Here is a 26346-nt window from a genome sequence, read left to right as displayed (position 1 = left end):
AATATAAGCTATACTATTTTACCTCTAACCTTGGGATTTATATCGCTTGCTAGAATTAATCTGCAAATAGGTTACATCTTATCAGGCAATACCAACTGGTATTAAGCTGATATTAGAGCTTCACTAATAGAGCTGGTTGTTTGGACCACTATGTTAAGAAGGAGTCTGATGTTGTCCACGTATAGTTGTAAGGAAGACCCTAATCAATTAACAATCTTTACTATGGAAGCAAAAAGAGAGAATGACAGTATGTGCTTATTATCCTTGTCAGGTGCTCAAATCTAGCACATTTTAAAACTCTCAGTAGTTTTGTATTTTTTAAATTAAAGCAGTCTTACAAGTTGAAATTCTATAATATAAAAACTCTCCTTAGACTCAAGAAATTACCAAAATTAGCAAACTTGTCAGGACTACTCAAGCTGCCCCAGGAAGAAGATGGATATATTCCAATACAAACAATAACGTGTCATTTGGAGTTCTGGAGGGAAAAATCAAAGGAATCAAATGACTTGGTAACCAGAGTTCTCTAACTTAGCACCATCCTTCTCTAAATCCAGTCAATATCTCTAGGAGTCATAATTATACATAGACTAGAAATATTTTCTTTAACATTTTCTTTTTAAATAATTGAGTAAACAGAATAGACAGCTCAGTAACGAACCCATATGAAACATGTGTATATAAAGTTAACATATAATCAAGGAGAGATCATGAATCAGTGGGAAAATGAAGCATGATTCTGGGCCAGCTAATTAGCTATTTACATTTTATTTAAAAAGTTCAATTAGATCCTCATCTCACACATATGTCAAAATAATTTTTAGGTGGATTAGAATCCATGGATTCTATGGATTAGAGCGTGTGTATTATACATTTAAATGTAAAATGTTATATCTTTTTTGAAGCCTACAAAAAAGATATAAAATTTTAAAGCTCTCTGACTAGATAAATATTTAAGTTTAAATGCAATGGAAGTAATGACAAAGAAAAGATCTGAGCTATAACTACCAAAAAATTTTAAACATATGTATATTTTAAAAACACTTGAGCTATAACTACCAAAAAAATTTAAACATATGTGTATTTTAAAAACACCAAAGCAAAAATTGGAAGAAAAAACTAAAGGAAAAAAAACCATTTAAGTAAACTGCTCTAGTAAGAAATGTTTTGATTACCAAGAGCAGGCATCTATTCAAATTATTTCCCTGTGAAAAACTTATGGAGAATCTGACTGAGACAAAGTATAGGAAGTATAGCTGTATCTCATGAGAACAGGAAAATGGTTAGGCAGCTACTGTCTCCATCTCCATTCCTCACTGGTCCACATGGTCTCTTTTCTCTGGCCCTGAGCACACTTCCTTCTTTCTTTCTCCTGAGGAGGGAAAGAAAACCATGCCTGATCCTCTTCTACAACTTTAGTTTGCATGTGGCTTTGACTGGCTTTAGTGCCAAACCTGGCTCCAGAACCCAGCACCATCTTATTGACACAGTTCTTCAGGGCCTTAGTCCCAAACTTCTGGGAAGACAATATAATAGGCCCAACTTGGGTCAGGTGTTTACATATGGTTCAGTTAGGTGTGACCACTGGGGAAGGGGTTGTCCTATGGACATAGAACTGGTAAGGCCTACCTGCTTCTCAGCAGGTCTGGGTGCAAAGCATCTTCAGTGAACGGATGTAGGAGGAGCAGAGAGCAAAGACACTACACATTTCATGGAATATAATGAAGTCCACATGGAGCTTCATCATAAGAAGTTAAGAAAGAAAAGCCTACTGTAAAGTCTTATGGTCAAAATTCTCTCTGATATGTGGAGGGAGAGAGGTATGGATATCCTAGCCATACTAGACAAGAGTAACTTTTGTTAATCTGATGCATTGCATTCATTTGTACTTTCCAAAGTTTTTACCACAAACATGCAGAACTCTGATAATCAGAAAAGAAATAAAGTAAGAGGCCAGAGGAAGAAAAGTCAAAAGTGTGAAAACTAAGTGCCAAATATACAATTTAGGTTGAGTTCTCAGGTCATTTTTTGTGACATGTTGCAACTTTCAATCCCATTACTCCCCTCTACACTTATGGCTGGACTCTAGACTCAGTTAATGACAGACACTTCCCTGAAGACCCCACCAACACTCACTCCACCGTTCTTGTGGCCATGTTGACCAGATGTCCTTCCAGGCTTTCTCTGTTCAGTGGCTGCTCCTCATCCCTCATGGCACGAATGAAAGTCAGCCTTCCTCAACTGCCATTACCCCAACCCAACTCCTTCTCCTCTGTGTCTCTCAGCCCAGTCTTCCTTGGCTGTTTATGCCTCTGTCCTTCCAGACATAGTTGAAGCTGATTTTAGGGAGATAGTCAGTCATATGAATGTTGCTTCATAAAGCAGCTAGCACAGGACATGAGCAAGAGTAGGTTCTCAATGAATGTTTTGCTGAATAAATGTTGAAAGTTTAAGGAATTATTTCTGTATTTCAGATATTTCAAATTGTCCTTATACTAAAAAAGCATTTTACCAAAAAAAAAAAAATAAGTTTGTGGCATACTGAAAAAATCATGGACTTCAGAGCCCAGCAGATCAGTTTCGAATCCCAACCTCAACTCACTAGTTGGGTAAATTAAGCTTTTCTGAGCTATTTTCTCATCTTTAAAATGCAGGTGACAGAGTGGCAACAGAAATATGATAGAAAAGGAAGCTCCTGACTCTCCCTCTGCCCATGGATGCACCAAATAAACATCTACCACAGACCAATTCCCTTTAACAAAAGGTCTGGCTGGGCGCAGTGGCTCACACCTATAATCCTAGTACTTTGGGAGGCTGAGGCAGGCGGATCACAAGGTTAGGAGTTTGAAACCAGCCTGGCCAGCATGGTAAAACCCCGTCTCTACTAAAAATACAAATATTAGCCGGGCATTGTGGCACACGCCTGTAATCCCAGCTACTTGGGAGGCTGAGGCAGGAGGATTGTTTGACCCTGGGAGGCAGAGGTTTCAGTGAGCCAGGATGGCGCAACTGTACTCCAGTCTGGGTGACAGACTGAGACTCCATCTCGAAAAAAAAAAAAAAAAGAAAGAAAGAAAGAGAAGGTCCAAGACCAACAGAGAGGCTCCTACCCACTGACAGCTGAGAAAACATCTACACTGAAGCTGAGGCACACTCAGGCATGGACCCCATCCCAGGCACTGCACCATAAAATTTGGAAAGGAATCCCCCACACCCAGTCTCTCCCTGTGGAGAGGAGGATCTGGACCCCCAAAATAGGGCTCTAACAGTAAGTTTTCCCATGGTTTGACTCTTAATTTGCCAACTATGGGAGATGAGTGGATTATACACACACATCCCTCTAGACTTAAAAAAAAAAAAAAAAAAGAGGCAAGTGCACACCAATTCCGGGGACTTCAAACATCCCTCCAGCAGCCACCTGTTGGCCCTGTTTCTAACTAGCTTACATTGGGCAGTTAAAGGGACAGTCAATTATTAAACCACCACCAGCCTAGGATAAGTCTGCATTCACACCAAGTATCCTAACTTTTTTTTTTTTTTTTTTTTTTGAGACAGGTCATCACCCAGGCTAGAGTGCAGTGGTGCAATCTCAGCTCACTGCAACTTCTGCCTCCCAGACTCAAGAGATCCTCCTGCCTCAACCCCCCAAGTAGCTGGGACAATAGGTGCCTGCCATCACACCTGGCTAATTTTTCTATATTTTGTAGAGACGGGGTTTCGCCTTGTTGCCCAGGCGAGTCTCAAACTCCTGGACTCATGCAATCTGCCAGCCTCACCCTCCCAAAGTGCGGGGATTATAGGCGTGAGCCACTGTGCCTGGCCTAGCATCCCTAACTCTTATAACATCTACCTAAGGGATTGCATCCTTAGTCTCCTAGCTCTGGGAGCAGAAGAGACTGGCATATACACGTAGCTCTAAACAACAGGAAAAGAGTTGTGTTTTTAAATGGGTATGCAAGCATCTCCAGGGATTTCATCTCCTTGCAGAGAAGGGGCTTAAGACATAATAAAACTCCCTGTTTCTCCCCAGAAGGGGTTTAGGATACATATTGAAAGCTAATTTTTAAAGCTATCTCCCAAAGGGCTCCATCCTAAACCTAGTAGCTCTGACAACAGAAGGGACTATGCATATGTGAGTCTCCCTTGATCATGAAACAAAGAGGTGGTTTTAAACAGGCATTCAAACACTTCTAGGGGCTATACCCTCTTGGAGCAGTTCACAAAAGGGGCAGGAATGTACAGCTCTCACTTTCTCTTCAATAAGGGCTTATAGCACACACTTTCAGTAGCTCCTTGAGGACTTGGTTTCTAATCAACTTGCATTGAGAGCTAATGGAGCAAACAAGCAATGGCCTTTAGGTAGCCAGAGCCAGAGCACGGTACTTCACAAGACCTTCCTCTAGCTCACTCCAGAGACAAATCCAGGCCTATTCCTTCCTTCTGGAAAGAATTGGCCATGTGGGCAGCCCACAACCTGCATAACTCCCACTCAAGGGACTGTCTCCTTAATGACCTAGCTACAGACTTTGCAATCCTAAGTGACCCAAGACCACAGAAAACAAACAAGTGGATGTATAATTATCCCAATATTAGCAACTATCCCTCTAGGATTAGAAGGTAAATCCTGACTGTGAGAATAGACATTTGCTGCAGATCCTCTCTTCAACTTACTGTACCTGCACCCAGTCACACCATGAAGATACAAAGAACTGGGGTACACATCTAACACCCTAAACTTTCCAGCTACATCTTAATAACTTGGGTCCTATCATACCAGTCTCAGGTTACTATCAAGATGTGGTACATCATAAGCTCCAGTGAGCCAGCAAAAACAGAGATAACAGTCTCGACAAACACAAAGATTTGAGAGGCACCTTAAAATCTCTGGCCAGACAGATTGGTGAAAACTCATATACAAAGTCAGTCTAATAACATGAAGAGAGAGGTAGTTATCTAATGCTCAGAAACAAAAACAGAGAATCAAGGAAGTGAAGAAACAGAGGAATATATTTCAAACAAAAGAACAAAGTAAATCTCCAGAAACCAACTTGAATGAAGTGAAGTTTTATGATTTGCCTAATAGGGATTCAAAATAATGGTTATAAAGATACTCACAAGGTCAAGACAGCAATAAAAGAGCAAGCCGAAAACTTCAAGAAGAGACAGAAAGTATAAATAATTACCAAATGGAAATCATAGATCTAAAGAGTGCTATAACTGAACTGAAAATGTAAATAGAGGGGTTCGAGAGGAGACTAGATCAAGCAGAAGAAAGGATGAGTAAACTTGAAGACAGATCACTGGAAATCATCCAATCTAAAGAGCAGAAAGAAAAAAAAAAGAATGAACAAGAGCAAATATAGCTTAAGAGACTTCTAAGACACCATCAAGCAGAACAACGTATGCATTATTGGCATGCCAGAAGGAAAATAAATAGAGAAAGGGAACGAAAACATAATCAAAATAATAATTGCAGAAACTTTCCCAAGTTTGGGGAGGGAATCAGAAAGCCAGAGGCAGAAAGCCCATAGCACACCAAATCAGATAAACTCAAAGAGACCCACACCAGGACACATCATGGATAAACTGTCAAAACTTAAAGACAAAGAGGGAGTGTTGAAAGCAGCAAAGGTAAAAGCAAATTGTCACATACAGGGGAGTCTCTATACAAATTGTTACATGCAGGGGAGTCTCTATAAGACTATCAGCAGACTTCTCAGCAGAAATTTTGCAAGCCAGAAGGAAGTGGGGTGATATATTCAAAATCCTAAAAGAAAAGAACTGTCAACAAAAAATATATACCCAGCAATCCTGTCTTTTGGAAAACAAGAGGTGATAAGGACTTTCTCAAACAAAAGCTGAGAGAGCTTAACACTACTAGATCTGCATTACAAAAAAAATGCTAAAGGAAGTTCTTCAATCTGAAGGAAGGGCTGCTAATTAGTATCATAAAAACATATGAAATTATACAACTCACTAGTAAAAGTAAATACACTGTCAAATCCAAAACACCCTAATACTGTAATGGTGATAGGCAAATCAATTATGTCTCTATTATAAGTGTCAAAAGGCAAAACTACTAAAAACAATGCAAGCTTCAATAATTTGCTAAGGGATACATATTACAAAAAGATGTGAAGTGTGACATCAAAAACATAAAATGTGGAAGAAGGGGGAGTAAAAATGGAGAGTTTGTGTATATAATAAAAATTAAGCTGCTATCAGTCTAAATAAACTATTTATACATATAAGATGTATTATGTAAGCCTCAGGATAACTGCAAAGCAAAAGCCTATGATAGATACACAAAAGAGAAAAAGAAAAAACTAAAGCATACCACTATGGAAAGTCATCAAATCACAAAGAAAGCAAGCAAAAGAGGAGGTAGGGAACAAATGATCTACCAAACAATTTGAAAACAATTAACAAAATTGCAGGAGCAAGTCTTTATCTATCAATAATACCTTGAATATAAATGTATTAAATTCCTCATTTAAAAGAGATAGAGTGACTAAATGAATTTTTAAGAAGACTCAACTATATGCTACCTACAAGGATACTTGTCTCACTTTGTAAGGACACACAGACTGAAAGTAAAGGAATGGAAAAAGATATTCCATGCAAATGAAAACCAAAGAGAGCAGGAGTACCTATACTTATATTAGAGAAAATAGACCTTCAGGCTAAGACTGTTAAATGAGACAAAGAAGGTCATCATATAATGATAAAGAGGTCAATTCAGCAAAAGTATACAATAATTATAAATATATATGCACCTAACACTGGAGCACCCAACTCTATAAAGCAAATATAAATAGACCAAAAGGAAGAGATAGACTGCAATACAACAATAGTAGGGAACTTCAACATTCAACTTTCAAAAACAGACAGATCATCTAGCAGAAAATCCACAAAGAAACATCAAAGTTAAACTACACTCTAGAATAAATGGACTAAGTGACATTTATGGAACATTTAATCTGACAGATGCAGAATACACATTCTTCTCATCAGCACATGGAACATTCTTCAGGATAGACCACATAATAGGCCACAGAGAAAGTCTCAATACATTTTTAAAAATTAAAATTATATCAAGTATCTTTTCTGAACACAATGGAATAAAACTAGAAATCAATAACAAGATAAACTTTGGAAAGTGTACAAATATACGGAAACTAAACAACATGCTCTTGGAGAACAAATGAGTTGAGTCAATGAAGAAATTAAGAAGAAAATATAAAATTTATTAAAACAAATTAAAAAACGGAGACACAACATACCAAAACCTATGTAATACAGCAAAAGTAGTAGTAAGAGAAAAGTTTATAGCAATAAATGCCTACATGTAAAAAGTAGAAAAATTTCAAATAAACAACTTAATGATGCACCTGAAGGAACTATAAAATCAAGACCAAACAAAACTCAAAATCAGAAGAAAAAATAATGAAGATCAGAACAGAAATAAATGAAATTAAGACTAAGAAAATATAAAAGATTAACAAACAAAAATTTGTTTTACTGAAATAAATAAAATTAGAGATGAAAAAGGAGACATTACAACTGATACCACAGAAATAAAAAGGATGATTAAAGACTACTATGAACAATTATATGCCAACAAATTGGAAAACTTAGAAGAGATGAATAAATTCATGAACACACATGATCTACCAAGGTTGAACCACGAAGAAATAGAAAGCCTGAACAGGCCAATAACCAGCAATGAGATTGAATCAGTAATAAAAATTCCCCCAAGAAAGAAAACTCCAGGACCAGATGTCTTCACTGTCTAACTCTACAAACTTTTTACAGAAGAACTAATACCATTTTTTCTCAATCTATTCCAAAAAACTGAAGGAGGGGGAATTCTTCCAAACACATTCTATGAAGCCAGTATTACCCTGATAACAAAACTAAACAAGAACACAAATAAAAATGAAAACTACAGGCCAATATCCCTGATGAACATAGATGCAAAAATCCTTAACAAAATACCAGCAAACCAAATTCAACAGGACATCAAAAAGATTAAACACAAAGATCGAGTGGATTCATCCCAAGGATGCAAACATGGATCAACATATACAGAATCAATAAATATGATACATTACATCAACAGAAAGAAAGACAAAAACCATATGATCATCTCAATAGATGTAGAAAAAGCATTTGATAAAATTCAACATCCCTTCACAATAAAATCCCGGAACAAGTTAGGGATAGAAGAAACAAACCTTAAAACAATAGAGGCGATATATGACGAATCCACAGCTAACATCATAATGAAGAGCGAACAGGTGAAAGCCTTTCTTCTAAGATCCAAACAAGACAAAGATATCTACTTTCACCATGTTTATTCAACATAGTACTGGAAGTCCTAGACAGAGCTATTAGGCAAGGGAAAGAAATAAAGGACATTCAAATTGAGAAGGTGATAGTCAAAACTGTTTCTGTTCGCAGATGACATGATTTTATATTTAGAAAACCTAAAGACTCTACAAAAAAAACTACTAAAAGTAAAAAATAAATTGCAGGATAACAAAATCAATATACAAAAGTCAGTCCACATTTCTATGTGCCAATAGTGGACAATCTGAAAAAGAAATTAAGAGAGAAATCTATTCCCGGGCAAGATGGCCGAATAGGAAGAGCTCCAGTCTGCAACTCCCAGCAAGACAAACACAGAAGGCAGGTGACTTCTGCGTTTCCAACAGAGGTCCCTGGTTCATCTCACTGGGAATGGTTAGACAGTGGGTGCAGCTCATGGAGGGAAAACAGAAGCAGAGTGGGGTGTTGCCTCACCCAGAAAATGCAAGGAATAGTGGAACTCCCTCCCCTACCCAAGGGAAGCCCTGAGAGACCATGCCATGTCGGATGGTGTTATCGAGCCCAGATACTATGCTTTTCCCACAGTCTTCAAAACCTGCAGACCAGGACACTTTCTCGGATGCCTACACCACCAGGGCCCTGGGTTTCAAGCACAAAACTGGGCAGCTGTTTGGGCAGACACTGAGCTAGCTGCAAGAATTTTTTTTTCGTACCCCAGTGGCACCTGGAGCACTAGCAAGACAGAACCGTTCACTCCACTGGAAAGGGGGCTGAAGCCAGGGAGCCAAGTGGTCTAGTTCAGCAGATCCCATGCCTATGGAGCCCAGCAAGCTAAGATCTACTGGCTTGAAATGCTTGCTGCCAGCACAGCAGTGTGAAGTTGACCTGGGACACTCAAGTTTGGTGGGGGAAGGGGCATCTGCAGTTACTGAGGCTTGAGTAGGCGGTTTTCCCCTCACACTGTAAAAGCCTCCAGGAAGTTCGGACTGGGTGGAGACCACCGCAGTGCTGCAAAGCTTCTCTAGCCACACTGCCTCTGTAGATTCCTCCTCTCTGGGCACGGCATCTCTGAAAGAAAGGCAGCAGCCCCAGTCAGGGGCTTATAAATAAAACTCTCAACTCCCTTAGACACAGCACCTGGGGGAAGGGGTGGCTGTGGGTGCAGCTTCAGCAGACTTAAACACTCTGCCTGCTGGCCCTGAAGAGAGCAGCAGATCTCCCAGCACAGCGCTCGAGCACTGCTAAGGAACAGACTGCCTCCTCAAGTGGGTCTCTGACCCCCATGCTTCCTGATGGGGAGACACCTCCAGCAGGGGTCAATGGACACCTCACACATGAGAGCTACAGCTGGCATCTGGTAGGTGCCCTTTGGGATGAAGCTTTCAGAGGTAGGAGCAGGCAGCAATCTTTGCTGTTCTGCAGCCTCTGCTGGTGATACCCAGGCAAACAGGGTCTGGAGTGGACCCCAGCAAACTCCAGCAGACCTGCAGAAGAGGGTCCTGACTGTTAGAAGGAAAACTAACAAACAGAAAGCAGTAGTATCAACATCAACCAGAAGGACAACCATGCAAAAACTCCATCCGAAGGTCACCAACAGCAAAGACCAAAGGTAGATAAATCCACAAAGATGAGGAAAAACCAGTGCAAAAAAGCTGAAAATTCCCAAAACAAGAATGCCTCTTCTCCTCCAAAGGATCACAACTCCTCGTCAGCAAGGGAACAAAATTGTATGGAGAATGAGTTTGACAAATTGACAGACGTAGGCTTCAGAAGATAGGTAATAACAAACTCCTCCAAGCTGAAAGGGCATGTTCTAACCCAATGCAGGGAAGCTAAGAACCTTGATAAAAGGTTAGAGGAATTGCTAATAGAATAACCAGTTTAGAGAAGAACATAAATGATCTGATGGAGCTGAAAAACACAGCATGGGAACTTTGTGAAGCATACACGAGTATCAATAGCTGAATCAATCAACTAGAAGAAAGGATATCAGAGATTGAAGATCAACTTAATAAAATAAACCATGAAGACAAGATTAGAGAAAAAAGAATGAAAAGGAATGAACTAAGCCTCCAAGAAATATGGGACTATGTGAAAAGACCAAATCTACATTTGATTGGTATACCTGAAAGTGATGGGGAGAATGGAACCAAGTTGGAAAACACTCTTCAGGATATTATCCAGGAGAACTTCCCCAACCTAGCAAGACAGGCCAACATTCAAATTCAGGAAATACAGAGAACACCATAAAGATACTCCTCAAGAAGAGCAACCCCAAGACACATAACCGTCAGATTCACCAAGGTTGAAATGAAGGAAAAAATGTTAAGGGCAGCCAGAGATAAAGGTCGGGTTACCCACAAATAGAAGCCCATCAGACTAACAGCAGATCTCTAGGCAGAAACCCTACAAGCCAGAAGAGAGTGGGGACCAATATTTAACATTCTTAAAGAAAAGAATTTTCAACCCAGAATTTAATATCTGGCCAATCTAAGCTTCGTAAGTGAAGGAGAAATAAAATCCTTTACAGACAAGCAAATGCTGAGGGATTTTGTCACCACCAGGCCTGCCTTACAAGAGCTCCTGAGGATGTACTAAACATGGAAAGGAAAAACTGCTACCAGCCACTGCAAAAACAAACCCAAATGTAAAGACCACCAACACTATGAAAAAACTGCATCAACTAATGGGCAAAATAACCAGCTAGCTTCATAATGACAGTATCAAATTCACACATAACAATATTAACCTTAAATGTAAATGGGCTAAACACCCCAATTAAAAGGCACAGACTGGCTTATTGGATAAGGAGTCAAGACCCACTGGTGTGCTGTATTCAGGAGACCCATCTCACATGCAAAGACACACATAAGCTCAAAATAAAGGGATGGAGGAAGATTTACCAAGCAAATGGAAAGCAAAAAAAAAGGGGGGTTGCCTGATAAAACAGACTTTAAACCAACAGAGATCAAAAAAGACAAAGAAGGGCATTACATAATGGTAAAAGGATCAATGCAACAAGAAGAGCTAACTATCCTTTAACATCCCACTGTCAATATTAGACAGATCAACAAGACAGAAAATTAACAAAGTTATTCAGGACTTGAAGTCAGCTCTGGACCAAGAAGACCTAATAGAGCTCTACAAAATTCTCCACCCCAAATCAACAGAATATACATTCTTCTCAGCAGTTCATCACACTTATTCTAAAATTGACCACATAATTGGAAGTAAAACACTCCTCAGCAAATGCAAAAGAATGGAAATCATAACAGTCTCTCAGACCACAGTGCAATCAAATTAGAACTCAGGATTAAGAAACTCACTGAAAACTGGACAAATACATAAAACAAATACAAATAAACAATCTCCTCCTGAATGACTACTGGGTAAATAACTAAATGAAGGCAGAAATAAAGATGCTCTTTGAAACCAATGAGAACAAAGACACAATGTACCAGAATCTTTGGGACACATTTAAAGCAGTATGTGGAGGGAAATTTATAGCACTGAATGCCCACAATAGAAAGCAGGAAAGATCTAAAATTGACACCCTAACATCACAATTAAAAGAACTAGAGAAGCAACAGCAAACAAATTCAAAAGCTAGCAGAAGACATGAAATAACTAAGATCAGAGCAGAACTGAAGGAGATAGAGACATGAAAAACCCTTCAAAAAAAAATCAATGAATCTAGGAGCTACTTTCTTGAAAAAATCAACAAAATAGATAGATCGTTAGCCAGACTAATAAAGAAGAAAAGAGAAAATAATCAAATAGATGCAAGAAAAAATGATATAGGGGATATCACCACTGATCCCACAGAAATACAAACTACCATCAGAGAACACTATAAACACCTCTATGCAAATAAACTAGAAAATCTAGAAGAAATGAATAAATTCCTGGACACATACACCCTCCCAAGACTAAATCAGGAAGAAGTGGAATCCCAGAATAGACCAATAACAGGCTCTGAAATTGAGGCCGTAATTAATAGACTACCAACCAAAAAAAGTCCAGGTCCAGACGGATTCACAGCCAAATTCTACCAGAGGTACAAAGAGGAGCCGGTACCATTACTTCTGAAATTATTCCAAACAATAGAGAAAGAGGGAATCCTCCCAAACTCATTTTATGAGGCCAGCATCACCCTGACACCAAAACTGCCAGAGGCATAAAAAAAAAAAAGAAAATTTCAGGCCAATATCCCCAATGAACATTGATGCAAAAATACTCAATAAAATACTGGCAAACTGAATACAGCAGCACATCAAAAAGCTTATCCACCACGATCAAGTTACCTTCATCCCTGGCATGCAAGGCTGGTTCAACATACACAAATCAATAAAGGTAATCCATTACATAAACAGAATCAATGACAAAAACCACTTTATGATCTCAATAGATGCAGAAAAGGCCTTCAATAAAATTCAAAACCTCTTCATGCTAAAAACTCTCAATAAACTAGGTATCAATGGAACATACCTCAAATTAATAAGAGCTATTTATGAAAAACCCACAGCCAATATCATACTGAATGGGCAAAAACTGGAAGAATTCCCTTTGAAAACTGGCACAAGACAAGGATGCCCTCTCTCATCACTACTATTCAACATAGTACTGGAAGTTCTGGCCAGGGCAGTCAGGCAAGAGAAAGCAATAAACGGCATTCAAATATGAAGACAGGAAGTCAAACTGTCTCTGTTTGCAGATGACATGATTGTATATTTAGAAAACCCCATCTCAGCCCAAAACATCCTTAAGCTGATATGCAACTTCAGCAAATTCTCAGGATACAAAATCAATGTGCGAAAATCACAAGCATTCCTATACACCAGTAACAGACAAAGAGTGAGTCAAATCATGAGCAAACTCCCATTCACAGTTGCTACAAAGAGAAAAAAATACCTAGGAATACAACTTAAAAGGGACGTGAAGAACCTCTTCAAGGAGAACCGCAAACAACTGCTCAGAGAAATAAGAGAGGACACAAACAAATGGAAAAACATTCCATGCTCATGGATAGGAAGAATCAATATCATGAAAATGGCCACACTTCCCAAAGTAATTTATAGATTCAATGTTACTCTTGTCAAGCTACCATTGATTTTCTTCACAGAATTAGAAAAAACTACTTTAAATTTCATATGGAACCAAAAAAGAGCCCATAGAGCCATGTCAATTCTAAGCAAAAAGAACAAAGCTGGAGGCATCATACAACCTTACTTCAAATTATACTACAAGGCTATGGTAACCAAAACAGCGTGGTACTTGTACGAGAACAGATACTTAGACCAGTGGAACAGAACCAAGGCCTCAGAAATAACACCACACATCTACAACCATCTGATCTTTGACAAATCTGACAAAAACAAGCAATGGGGAAAGGACTCCTTTGGGAAAACCGGCCAGCCATATGCAGAAAACTGAAACTGGACCCCTTCCTTACACCTTATACAAAATTAAGTCAAGACGCATTAAAGATTTAAATGTAAGACCTAAAACCATAAAAACTCTAGAAGAAAACCTAGGTAATACCATTCAGGACATAGGCATGGGCAAAGATTTCATGACTAAAACACCAAAAGCAATTGCAACAAAAGCCAAAATTGACAAATGAGTTATAATTAAACTAAAGAGCTTCTGCACAGCAAAAGAAACTATCATCAGAGTGAACAAGCAACCTACAGAACGGGAGAAAATTTTTGCAATTTATCCATCTGACAAAGGGCTGATATCCAGAATCTACAAAGAACTTAAACAAATTTACAAGAAAAAACAAACAACCCCATCAAAAAGTGGGTGAAGGATATGAACGGACACTCAAACATATGAAAAAAAGCTCATCATCACTGGTCATTAGAGAAATGCAAATCAAAACCACAATGAGATACCATCTCATACCAGTTAGAATGGCGATCATTAAAAAGCCAGGAAACAAAAGATGCTGGAGAGGATGTGGAGAAATAGGAACACTTTTAACTGTTGGTGGGAGTGTAAATTATTTCAACCATTGTGGAAGACAGTGTGGCTATTCCTCAAGGATGTAGAACTAGAAATACCATTTGACCCAGCAATCCCACTACTGCATATATACCCAAAGGATTATAAATCATTCTACTATATAGACACATGCAAACGTATGTTTATTGCAGCTCTATTCACAATAGCAAAGACTTGGAACCAACCCAAATGCCCATCAATGTTAGACTGGATAAAGAAAATGCGGCACATATACACCATGGAATACTATGCAGCCATAAAAAAGAATGAGTTCATGTTCCTTGCAGAGACATGGATGAAGCTGGAAACCATCATTCTCAGCAAACTAACACAGGAACAGAAAACCAAACACCGCATGTTCTCACTCATAGTGGGAGTTGAACAATGAGAACATATGGGCACAGGGAGGGGAACATCATACACTGGCGCCTGACGGGGGTGGGGAGTAAGGTGATGGATAACATTAGGAGAAATACCTAGTGTAGATGACGAGTTGATGGGTACGACAAACCACCATGGCACATGTATACCTATGTAACAAATCTGCTTGTTTTGCACATGTATCTCAGAACTTAAAGTATAATTTTTTAAAAAAAAGAAAGAAATCTAATTTACAATAGCTACAAAAACAAGATAAAACATCTAGGAATAAATTTAACCAAAGAGGCAAAATATCTCTACAATGAAAACTGTAAAACATTGATTTAAAAATAATCGAAGAGGACACACACAAAAAATAAAAAGATATTCCATGTTTATGGATTGGGAGAATTGATACTGTTAAAAAGTCCATAATACCCAAGGTGATCTATAGATTCAATGCAATCTGTAGAAAAATACAAATGACATTCCTCTCAGAAATAGAAAAAACAATCCCAAAATTTGTATAGTATCACAAAAGACTCCAAATAGCCAAAGCAATCTTGGGCAAAAAGAACAAAGCTGGAGACATCCCACTACCTGACTTTAAAATATAATACAAAGCTATAGTAACCAAACAGCATGGTACTGGCACTAAAATAGATACACAGACCAATGGAACAGAATAGAGAACCCAGAAATAAATCTATGTATTTACAGCCAACTGATTTTCAATGAAGGCATCAAGAACAAAAATTGGGGAAAGAACAATCTCCTCAATAAACTGTTTTGAGAAAACTGGATATCTACATGCAAAAGAATGAAATTAGACCCTTACCTCCCACCATGTACAAAAATCAACTCAAAAGGCATTAAAGATTTAAACATATGTCCCAAAACTATCAAACTACTAGACAAAAGCATAGGGGAAATACTTCAGAACATTAGTCCGGGTAAAGACTTCTTAGATTCATCTCAAAGCACATGCAACAAAAACAAAAATAGGCAAATGGGATTATGTCAAACTAAAAAGCTTCTGTACAGCAAAGGAAACAATCAACAGAGTGAAGAGACAACCTAAAGATTCGGAGAAAATATTTACAAACTGTCGATCCAACAAGGGATTAATATCTAGTGTATATAAAGACTCAGACATCAGTAGCAAAGACAAAAAAATCCAATTAAAAAATGAGCAAACACTCTAAATACACATTTTCTTAAAAGAGGCCAACAGGTCTATGACAAAAATGCTCAACATTTTTTGTTGAGGGAAACGCAAATCAAAAACACAATGAGATATCATCTTACCAGTAAAATGGCTATTATAAAAAAGACAAAAAATTCAAATGTTGGCAAGAATGTGGAGAAAGGGGAACTACTATGGATTGTTTATGTGAATGTGAATTAGTACAGCCATTATGGAAAACAGTATGGCTGTTAGCCAAAAAACTAAAAATAGAAATATAATATGATCCAGTCATTCCATTACTGGGGGTATATCCAGAGGAAAGCAAATCAATATGTCAGAGCTACCTACACTCCCCTGCTTATTGCAGCACTATTTACAGCAGGCAAAATATGAAATAAACCTGTGTCCATCAATGGATAAATGGACACAGAAAGTGTGGTATATATACACAATGGAATATTATTCAGCCATGGAAAAGAATGAAATCCTGTCATTTGTAAAAACACAGACGACCCTGGCAGACACTGTGTTAGTGAAATAAGCCAGAAAGACAAATATCACATATTCTCACTCATATGTGGGAGCTAAAAAAGTGGATTTTATGGAGGCAGAAAGTAGAACAGTGGTTACGAGAGACTGAGAATGGAAAGAGGAGAGAGGGATAAGAAAAGATTGGTTAACAGCTACAAAATTACAATTAGGTAGGAGGAATAAGTTCTAATGTTCTGTAACACAGCAGGGTGACTGTAGTTAACAATAATTTACTGTATATTTCAAATTATCTGGATGAAAGAATTTTGAATATTCCCAACACAGGGAAATAATAAATGTTTGAGGTGATGGATATACCAATTAACTTGACTTGATCATTATACATTGTATATAGGTATCAAAATATCACATGTACTCTATAAATATGTACAATTATTATGTGTCACATATTCTCATTTATGGGATCTAAAAATCAAAACAAATTTTTTAATGCAGGTGACAACATCTTGCAGAACTGGTTTAAGAATTTTAAGTGAAATATATACAGGCAAAACTCATTTTATTGCTCTTTGCTTTATTGCACTTTGCAGATACTGTGTTTTTTAAAAAGAGGTTTTTTACAAAGAGGTTTGGGGCAACCTTGCATTGAGAAAGCCTATTGGCACCATTTTTCCAATAGCATTTGCTCATTTCATGTCTCCGTGTCACATGTCGGTAATGCTTGCGATATTTCAAATGTATTATTATTATGATGATGTCTGCTTTGGTGATGTGTGATCTGCAATCTTTGATTTTACTATTACAATTTTGGGGGTGCCACAAACAGTGCTCATATCAAGTGCATCATATTAAGATGGAGAACTTAATAAATACATGCTGTGTGTGTTCTGATAGCTCCACCAATTGGCCATGCCCCTGTCTCTCTTTCTTTCTTTGGGCTCCCTATTCCGTGAGACACAACCATATTGACATTACGCCAATTAATAATCTTCAATGATCTCTAATTGTTCAAGTGAAAGGAAAAGTCACATGTTCCTCACTTTAAATCAAAAGCTAGAAATTATTAAGTTTAGTGAGTAAAGCCTGCTGAAAGCCAAGATAGACCAAAGCTAGGCATCTTGCACAAACAGTTCGTTCTGAATGGAAAAAAAAAGTTCTTGAAGGAAATGAAAAGTGCTTCTTCAGTGAACACACGAATAATAGGAGAGCAGAGCAGCCTTATTGCTGATAGGGAGAAAGCTTGAGTGGTCTGGATAGAAGATCAAACCAGGTACAACACTCTTTCAAGCCAAAGCTTAATCCAGAGCAAGGTACTAACTCTCTTCAATTCTGTAAAGGTCGAGAGAGGTAAGGAAGGTGCAGAAGAAAAGTATGAAGGTGGCAGAGGTTAGTTCATGAGAGTTAAGGAAAGAAGCATCTCCATAAAATAAAGTACAAGGCGAAGCAGCAAGTGCTGATATAGGAACTGCAGCAAATTTTCCAGAAAAATCTAACTAAGATGATTGATGATGATGGCTACACTAAACAACAGATTATCAACATAGGTAAAACAGCCTTCTCTAGGAAGAAGGTGACAGGTAGGATGTTCATAGCTAGAGATGAGAAATCAATGCCTGGCTTCAAACCTTCAAAGAACGGACTCTCTTTTTAGAGGGTAATGCAGCTGGTGACTTTAAGTTTAGGCCAATTATCATATGCCATTCAGAAAACCCTACAGCCCTTAGGAATTATGTTAAATCTACTCTGCCTGTGCTCTATAAATGGAATAAAAAAAGCCTGGATGACAACACATGTGTTTACTGCATGGTTCACTGACTATTTTAAGCCCACTGTTGAGACCTACCGCTAGGAAAAAAAAAAAAAGATTCCTTTCAAAACATTACTCCTCATTGACAATGCACTGGTCATCCAAGAGCTGTAATGGAGGTATACAAAGAAATGAATGTTGTTTTCATGCCTGCTCACACAACATCTATTCTGTAGCCCAGGGATCTAGAAGTCATTTTAACTCTCAAGTTTTATTATTTAAGAAATTCATTTTGTAAGGCTTTAGCTGCCACAGATAGAAATTCCTCTGATAGATCTGGGCAAGGTACATTGAAAACTATGGAACGGATTCACCATTTTAGATGCTATTAAGAACATTCATGATTCATGAAAGGGAGTCATATCAACATTATCAGGAGTTGGAAGAAGTTGACCCAACCCTTATGGATGAGTTGGAGAGGTTCCAGATTTTACTACAGGAAAAACTGCAGATGTGGTGGAAATAATAATATTAGAATTAGAAGTGGAGCCTGAAGATGTGACTGAATTGCTGCAAGCTCGTGATAAAATTTTCACAGATGAGGAGTTGCTCCTTATGGATGAACAAAGAAAGTGGTTTCTTCTGATAGAATCTTCTCCTGGTGAAGATGCTATAAAAATTGTTGAAATGACAAAGGATTTAGACTATTATGTAACTTATTTTATTACATAAAATTAGTTAATAAAGCAGCAGCAGGGTCAGAGATGATTGACTCCAACTTTGAAAGAATTCTACTGTGGGTAAAATGCTATCTAATAGCATTCCATGCTACAGAGGAATCTTTCATGAAAGGAAGAGTCAATTTATGTGTCAAACTTATTTGTGGTCTTATCTTCAGCAGCTATCACACTGATCAGTCAGCAGCCATCAACATCAAGGCCAGGCCCTCCACCAGCAAAAAGATTATGACTCATTGAAGGCTCAGATGATCATTAGCATTTTTCAGCAATATTTTTAACTGAAGGTATGGTCATTATTTTTTAAAATATAATGCTATTATGCACTTAACAGACTAAAGTATAGTATAAACATTACTTTTATATGCAATTGGAAACAAAAAATTTGTGTGGCTCACTTGTTTATAGTGATCTGGATCCAAACCCACAATATTTCTGAGGTATGCCTGTAAAGTGACTGGTACACTGTAGGCACTTAATGCATGGCAGCTATTATTCATATTGGACCTACTAACTTAATTGATGAAATAGCTAGGGAATACCCAGAGAGTCATGTACTTGTAGAAAATGTGTGATATTTGAATTGCTTCCCAAAGATGATTTTAAAAAACTTCATCACCAAAAATAACCAGTATATTTATAGATGTATAGAAAAGCTAGCACCTCTACAATGTGCAGAGCTAAAAATATTACGTGAAATCCTAGAAATGCTAGGATCTACAAGGGCTGTCTGACTACATTTTAGCATTCAACACATCATTTCGGATTATCTTCTAAAGCTGAAAGGCCATTAATCCATTAAAACACATTATTTTAAACAAAACTCCGATCATCAAACTGCACTACTACTGTGCCATTCCGGTAAGCGGGGTCAGATTTTTTCCTTTTTTATTGGCCTTTTTTCTTGTTTCTCCAAAATGAAACATGACTATAAAGTAAGATAATGGGCTTCCTTATGTGATGGTAAACAAGTTCCAAAGAGTTCCTAAGATGTCTCACTTAATACCAGCACAACTGAAATGGAAGTAAAACTTCCAAGAATGACGACTCATGACTTAGTGGTGGAGGCTGGAGGTTCTGGCATGTTCATTTTTAAAGACCAATTTCAGCACTTTATAGTTCCATTTACTAGAAATAGAGTCTGAGAGACTCTATTTCTTATGGAGGCAGTGGGTCTTATGGAGGCAGGTGGGGCAGGGGATTGTAGGGAGGCCTCCTCTAAATTATTCTGGACAGTCCATCATGCAATAGATTGACCTTCATGTCAGCCTGCAAGTAGACATTTTGAGGGTTCACAGATACAGAGGAAAGTACTTTCAGATGTTAGGAATTAAAAATCCTCAAGATATGCATGTAAATAATATATGCAGACAAATGTATCTTGGTTTGATGGTTTTTTCTCAGAGTCCCAGAAAATAAATTACTTAGTAAGAAATCCCAGCTTATAATGTGGTCTTTTAGAGTAAAAATATCTGAATCTAATCCTCCTAGAGTCAAAATTGTGCTAAGCACTGTTTATATCTAACAATATCATAAGTCTCTAATCTGTTGTATATGATATTCCATTGCCAGGCCAACTCAGTATTTATCAATTAGAAATTGGGAAAAAGCAGATTTTATTTTGCCTTTAAATGACTCTTTGCATCCAGTTCTTCCTCCTCAACAAAATTTTGCACTTTGGGGTTAGTTACAAGAAGTATTTCCTCCCTAAAGCTCCACCAGGTTGCCTTCTGGTAGAAACTGTTTCTTCACGTGCCACAGACCCTGGAGGGCAGGACATCCAAGTTACAACAGTTCAAGCCAAGTGGCTGCAGGACCCATACAGCTGTGACTTCTGTCAGCTCTTAAATAAAACATTAGACGTGTGTCTATTGTTTGTGAACTGTCCATGGTCCCTTTTCAGCTGGCTGGGGTTAAAGGGTATGTAGATTAGTAGGCCAGCTGTTTGGTAATTGTCACAGCCAGTTACTCGGTAAGCTATAGGACAGCATTCTCTGGAGGTAATGTCTTTGTTGCTAAGCAATGAATTCAGGTAAAATGTCTTTCCCTGGTTCTTTTTGGTCCAGTTTTAGAACACAGGGTATTGGTTACATTGTCTTCTCCCACAGCCCATTCACACCTCTTTTGTTTTTCTACCCAGGCCATGAAATGAGTGCCGATAAGTTGGGACAGCCCTGTTTACTGGGACTTATCAACTGCTAATGCAGTCCAGGAGTAAGCAAATGGCTGGGCAGCAGTATTTCTTGGGATATGCTCTAAGGTAGCCACTGTCATAATGTCCCTTCCAGATCTTAGTTTGGGAATTGGCCAATATATCCATCAGATGGGCACAAAGAAGAGCAAAAACAATGGCAGGAATGTGATGAGAAGAAAGGTAAATGGATGCCTGGTGATGTGTGCCCACGTCAGTTACCAACTTTATTATTATTATTATTTAGTTTACATTTTGAAATACATACTTGCCCTCAATACTTAAGCATAAATGTTCGGTTACAGAGACCAAGAGCACTGGGTAAGAGGGGACTCTGGCAGGAAAACCTCAGTTTAGTCCCCTCAGAATAGGTTTGAGCCATCTTCCTCCTCTAAGGAGTTTGCTGCAGACAACATCAACAACCAGCTTCTCAACTACATTTCTTCCTACCTTAAAATTTTGAAGCCATTATGACCTGATGTTACAGGAGATCATCTAAGGTAAGCCCCACTCACTATGTTGTTTCCCCGGCAGTGTTTCAGTAGAAGAGATAAAAGAAAGAGTGGTGTTTGGGTTCTCGGAAAAACCTATTAATTCAACTGAGCATTCTTACCACTTTCTGTGGAAAATCACGGTTCCTCAGAGCAGGGTGTGGGTTCTATCTGGGACTCTCATGTGCTGGGGCCCTGCCACCATCACTTCTTCCATGCGTGAGCCTCACATTAGCTATACCACACCAAATAGTTAGCAGGTAGACATTTTCCTCCCAAAAATGATACTCATGTTCAAAAGCGTTCACAAAGAAATTCCTTTCAATGGCAATCGCCATTAGGAAATTTTAAAGATTTCTTTTTTTCATAGTGAACCAACGTATACCCACAGAATATGAAAATCATGGGATACAATGTGCTTCAAGTCCAGCACAGAAGCTATGCTCTTGCTGAAGCTCTTGCTCAAGACTCCCAGCTGGCAAAAAGGGCCTCTGCCAGGCAGCCACTGCCCCACCTCACTGGGTGATGGTTAACAGCAACAGGGTCTGAAACACAACTCCACCTTTGATTTGCAAGGTGGCCTTCAGCAAATTACCTGGCCTCTCTCTGCCTCAATGCCCTCATTTTTTAAAATGGGCATAAAAATAAGGTTGGTTAAAAACAGGGTTGCTATGAAATAATACATGTGACCCCCCAAGTGCATAATAATTGCTAGCCTTGGTTATAGTTACCTCTCCTTTGGAGCCCACACTGTACCAAACTAAACAAACAAATGCCTGTTTAGTGTCCACTGTGGGCAAGGCTCTGCTTGTCAGTTAAAATCTTGTTAGAGTGAATGAAAATAAAACATTGAAACGAAGAGCACTTTTGGTATTCATTACTTAAGGTTCTTATATGATTTTTCTAGAGAAACAGACCTATAGAGAGTACTAGAGTTACACAGCAGAAACCTATACTGTGTGTGACATGCACCTCTACTTGCGCAGAAGTTTTTATGCCTGTATGTTTGCCCAGTGAGCCCACTGCGTTTGGAGGAGGCATGGGTGTTTAGCTCTGCAGCTTCCCCTCGGCCCAGCGAACCACTGGCAACAACTAATGGTCAAGAAAGATGTTCAAGTTGTTGACTTAGGAAAGGATGAGGCAGAGAAAAGAAAAAAATAAAAAGGTCAGGTTCAAAGCGTTGCCTATGGTTTTTGTCATTTTCTTGTCCGTTTCCTTTTAAATTCAAAGTGCTCAAAGTCCTTTAGGAACTCTTTCGCCATCTAGGTAAGTTGACAGGCAGTCTTACTCTCCCCAGTACATGGATATGAGATGATTGAGAAAATAAGCAGTGGTCTGGAGCCCCAAACTATAACAAACAAAACAACGAAACATTAATATCTACAAAATTCCATGCAGGTTTTCCTAAGGCCTTCTCCCAAATCTTAATTCATGGTTTCCCTTGAAATGGACATTTAGATAAACCAGCACTTAAATGTAAAAAGAGAAGCTCTGGGTGCTTCAATAAAAGAGATTGATAAAGAGAAGAGAGATGAGTAGTATTCCGTGCATTGAGAGGCTAAACACTCAAAGGGCTGGCCACAGCTCTAACCTGCGTTAGCAGGTTGAGCCCCTCGCAGCTCAACTCCACAGAATCCTCTGTTGGGCAGAACTTACCATAAACATGGATTAAGGACCAAGGGCCACAAAGTAAACTCACAGACCAAAAAGACAAAAAGAATCCTCCAGCACAACTTTTGTGAAGAAAAAAAAGGAGAAATCATAGTCTGACTTGTGAGGCTTCTGACAGTTTAACTTTAATGGACCCTGTTTATGTAAGGAGTAAAGGCTTGTTTAAAAGAAATGTTTTAACTTCATAAAGTAGGTTAAAGAAGCCATTACACTTCTCACTTGCATGGTAAATTTATTAGTTGACAGCTCTAAGTAGAACACAAAACAAAATACCCTGCCACCGGAGGCTGAAGCGGGCAGATCATGAGGTCAAGAGATCGAGACCATCCTGGCCAACACTGTAAAATCCTGCCTCTACCAAAAATACAAAAATTGGCAGGGTGCGGTGGCTCACGCCTGTAATTCCAGCACTTTGGGAGGCCGAGGCAGGCGGATCACGAGGTCAGGAGATTGAGACCATCCTGGCTAACACAGTGAAACCCTGTCTCTACTAAAAATACAAAAACAAAATTAACCAGGCGTGGTGGCGGATGCCTGTGGTCCCAGCTACTCGAGAGGCTGAGGCAAGAGAATGGCGTGAACCCAGGAGGCGGAGGTTGCAGTGAGCCGAGATGGCGCCACTGCACTCCAGACTGTCAACAGAGTGAGACTCCCTCTCAAAAAAAAGAAAAAAACACAAATACCCTGCCACCTGTGTAACTCACTGAATTGTTTTGTTCTTAAACTTCGCCCTTTCTTAGATTAATAATCAGTTGTAACATAGGCTCATAAAATGAAAGTGGGTTTTTACCATCTTGTCATATCTTATATTAGCACTATCACCTTCCTATAATGATCTCCTCGTTATAACAATTTCCTCATATATTGGGATGCTCCTTTGGACAGCATTACCTCATAAAGAAGTCATTTTGATATTTCAGGAATAAAACCTCTTTGGATAGAGTCCAAGAGCCACTATCACTTTAAAACAAATGGCTCTTGGTGACAAATATTAAGACTCCTGTGTGTTTTAACTTAGGTTCTGAAGAATTAAATGTCAGAATCCTAAACTAAGACACATTTGCTTTTTTGCTATTTCCCGCCCCTGAGTATTACAAGACACAGTATTTTGACAGTGTTTTACATTTATACTTCACACAAACAAGGCGCAATTGAACATTTTATCACCACACAAAATAAACCTAGGCAAACATCTCTTTCTTCCTGTCGTGTATGTTGTCATTTGGCCATGAGGCATCATGTTTGCCTCTTTATTCCTGTTTTGTGAGTGAGTTGTGTTTTCACTAAACTTTCTTTTTTTCCTGGAGTTAGCAGTGATCAATTAGTTGCCTCCTTACCCTGAACAATTAGAGAGGATCTCTCTCTGTGTGTATCCTTCCTACTTCCTTAGCCCAGAGCTCTCCACCACTAGAAGCAATTCTTATTTTTTTTAATTTTGAGACAGGAGATATTGGGAACATGCAAATAGACAGTAAAAGGCCTCCCAAAAGTATGCTCTTTTTAGAATGCACTTATCATCAGCATGGTACACATCTACCTGATTATTTCTTATCTAGACAAAACTCTGGTGAGGGTTTTTTTGTTTGCTTTGGTTTGGTTTGGTTTTTTCTTTTTCTGTCTCACAAAAACCAAGTGTTCTCCAGCAATGAGGCAACGGAAAAAATCAATACTTGCCATGTACCATGTAACCAATAGAATAAGGGGAATGATTTATGTATGGTTGGATGCAGCCTGAATCAGCTGGGGCCTCGTACAGAGAGCAAGAAAAAGAGAGAGGAAGAGACACAGAGAGAGAACGAGAGAGAAAAAAAACAGGGGGAGATAGCAGGGAGCTCGACTGCAGTGATCATTTCTACGGTGTGGCCAGATTTTTTTTTTTTTCTGCAGCAATAATCCCCCTTTCCGGCACTACAGGACACAGGGAAAGCCTGCAATTTATGGAATATCTGATGGCTCAGCTTTCCCCTCCTTTCCTCAGAGTCATGATGCCATGTTCACATTAAGGTGCACTGAGAAGGGGAGAATGATGTATGGCCTGCAGTCCTTCAACCTTCCAGTCATCTCCACCCTAAGAAAGGCTAGTGATGAGTCGGCAAGCATTAGTTGACAGAGAGTCAAATTATCAACAGGATTAAAAATAAATAAATAAAGCGCTCCAGCAACGCTTCCTAAGAAGACCAGCGGGAAGGGCTTACAGACGAGAACTACTCTATACCCCAGGAGTTTCTGCTGGAAATATAGTTTGGTTAACTGGAAATCCAGGGCGCTGCAGCATTTAAAGGTATTCCATCCTGAAGGTAACTTTTAGGGTAGCTGATATTCTTACTCAAAGCTTAGATATGAACTGTAGTTATGTGCTTGTGGTGGGGAGGTGGAAGTAGAAAGCCCTAAGCCCAGCTACTTCACAGCTGGATACCTGGTACTATTGTATATTGAATTCTAGTAGTTGTGACTTTAAACTGGGTTAATCGTTTGCTTCAGGATGACATAATATATATGGAGATATATATATATATATGTTTATTAAATAACATAATCGTTTATAAAATTCCTACTCCCTGCTTCAACCCAGGATGAACCTTGCAGGACTTGATGAGAAGCAAATTTGACTATTTCTTTGGAATATCTTTGTTTTCTGTGGTGTATTTAAATGGATCTAAATTTGTTTTCATGAGTTACCTTCTTTATACATTGTGCTTGAAAACGTAGAAAGGTTGACAGCATATCATTTCCATCAGTCTGTTGAACAAGACTGAATTATGTCCTTTGATGAGGAACACTGATGCCATATAATTTTTTATGATGTTTTCACATTCTTTAACCCAGACACAGTACTAACACCACAGTTTGATATTCCGCTAAAATATCCTATATTCTATATATGATTCATTACACCACACATAATCCATGGAAAGATATTTTAAAGACTGAGTATGTCAGAATAATGTCACGTCGTTAATGTTTGCTTAATTTGGAGCTGGTAGTGTTAACACCCAAAAACTGTTAAAATAGTTTTTCCCCTTTCAGTTGAAAGTGTCTACTCAACCCAATATTATCATAAACTCTCTTGACAAAATGCCATGCAATTTTAAAATTTTGTATGTTTACCTTATATAAATTATCTTAAACTC

The 26346-nt window shown here is 38.5% G+C and overlaps 1 long non-coding RNA gene across 1 annotated transcript in view; it reads right to left on the bottom strand.

Moving 5' to 3' along the window:
• Positions 1-26346, bottom strand: part of LOC105374690 (uncharacterized) — a 231734-nt gene that overhangs the window by 102922 nt on the left and 102466 nt on the right. The window lies entirely within an intron of this gene.

The sequence above is a fragment of the Homo sapiens genome, chromosome 2, assembly GCF_000001405.40.
Source record: "Homo sapiens chromosome 2, GRCh38.p14 Primary Assembly".
NCBI lineage: Eukaryota > Metazoa > Chordata > Mammalia > Primates > Hominidae > Homo > Homo sapiens.
The sequence above is the reverse complement of the archived record's forward strand: the minus strand, read 5'-3'. Positions and strand labels throughout refer to the sequence as shown.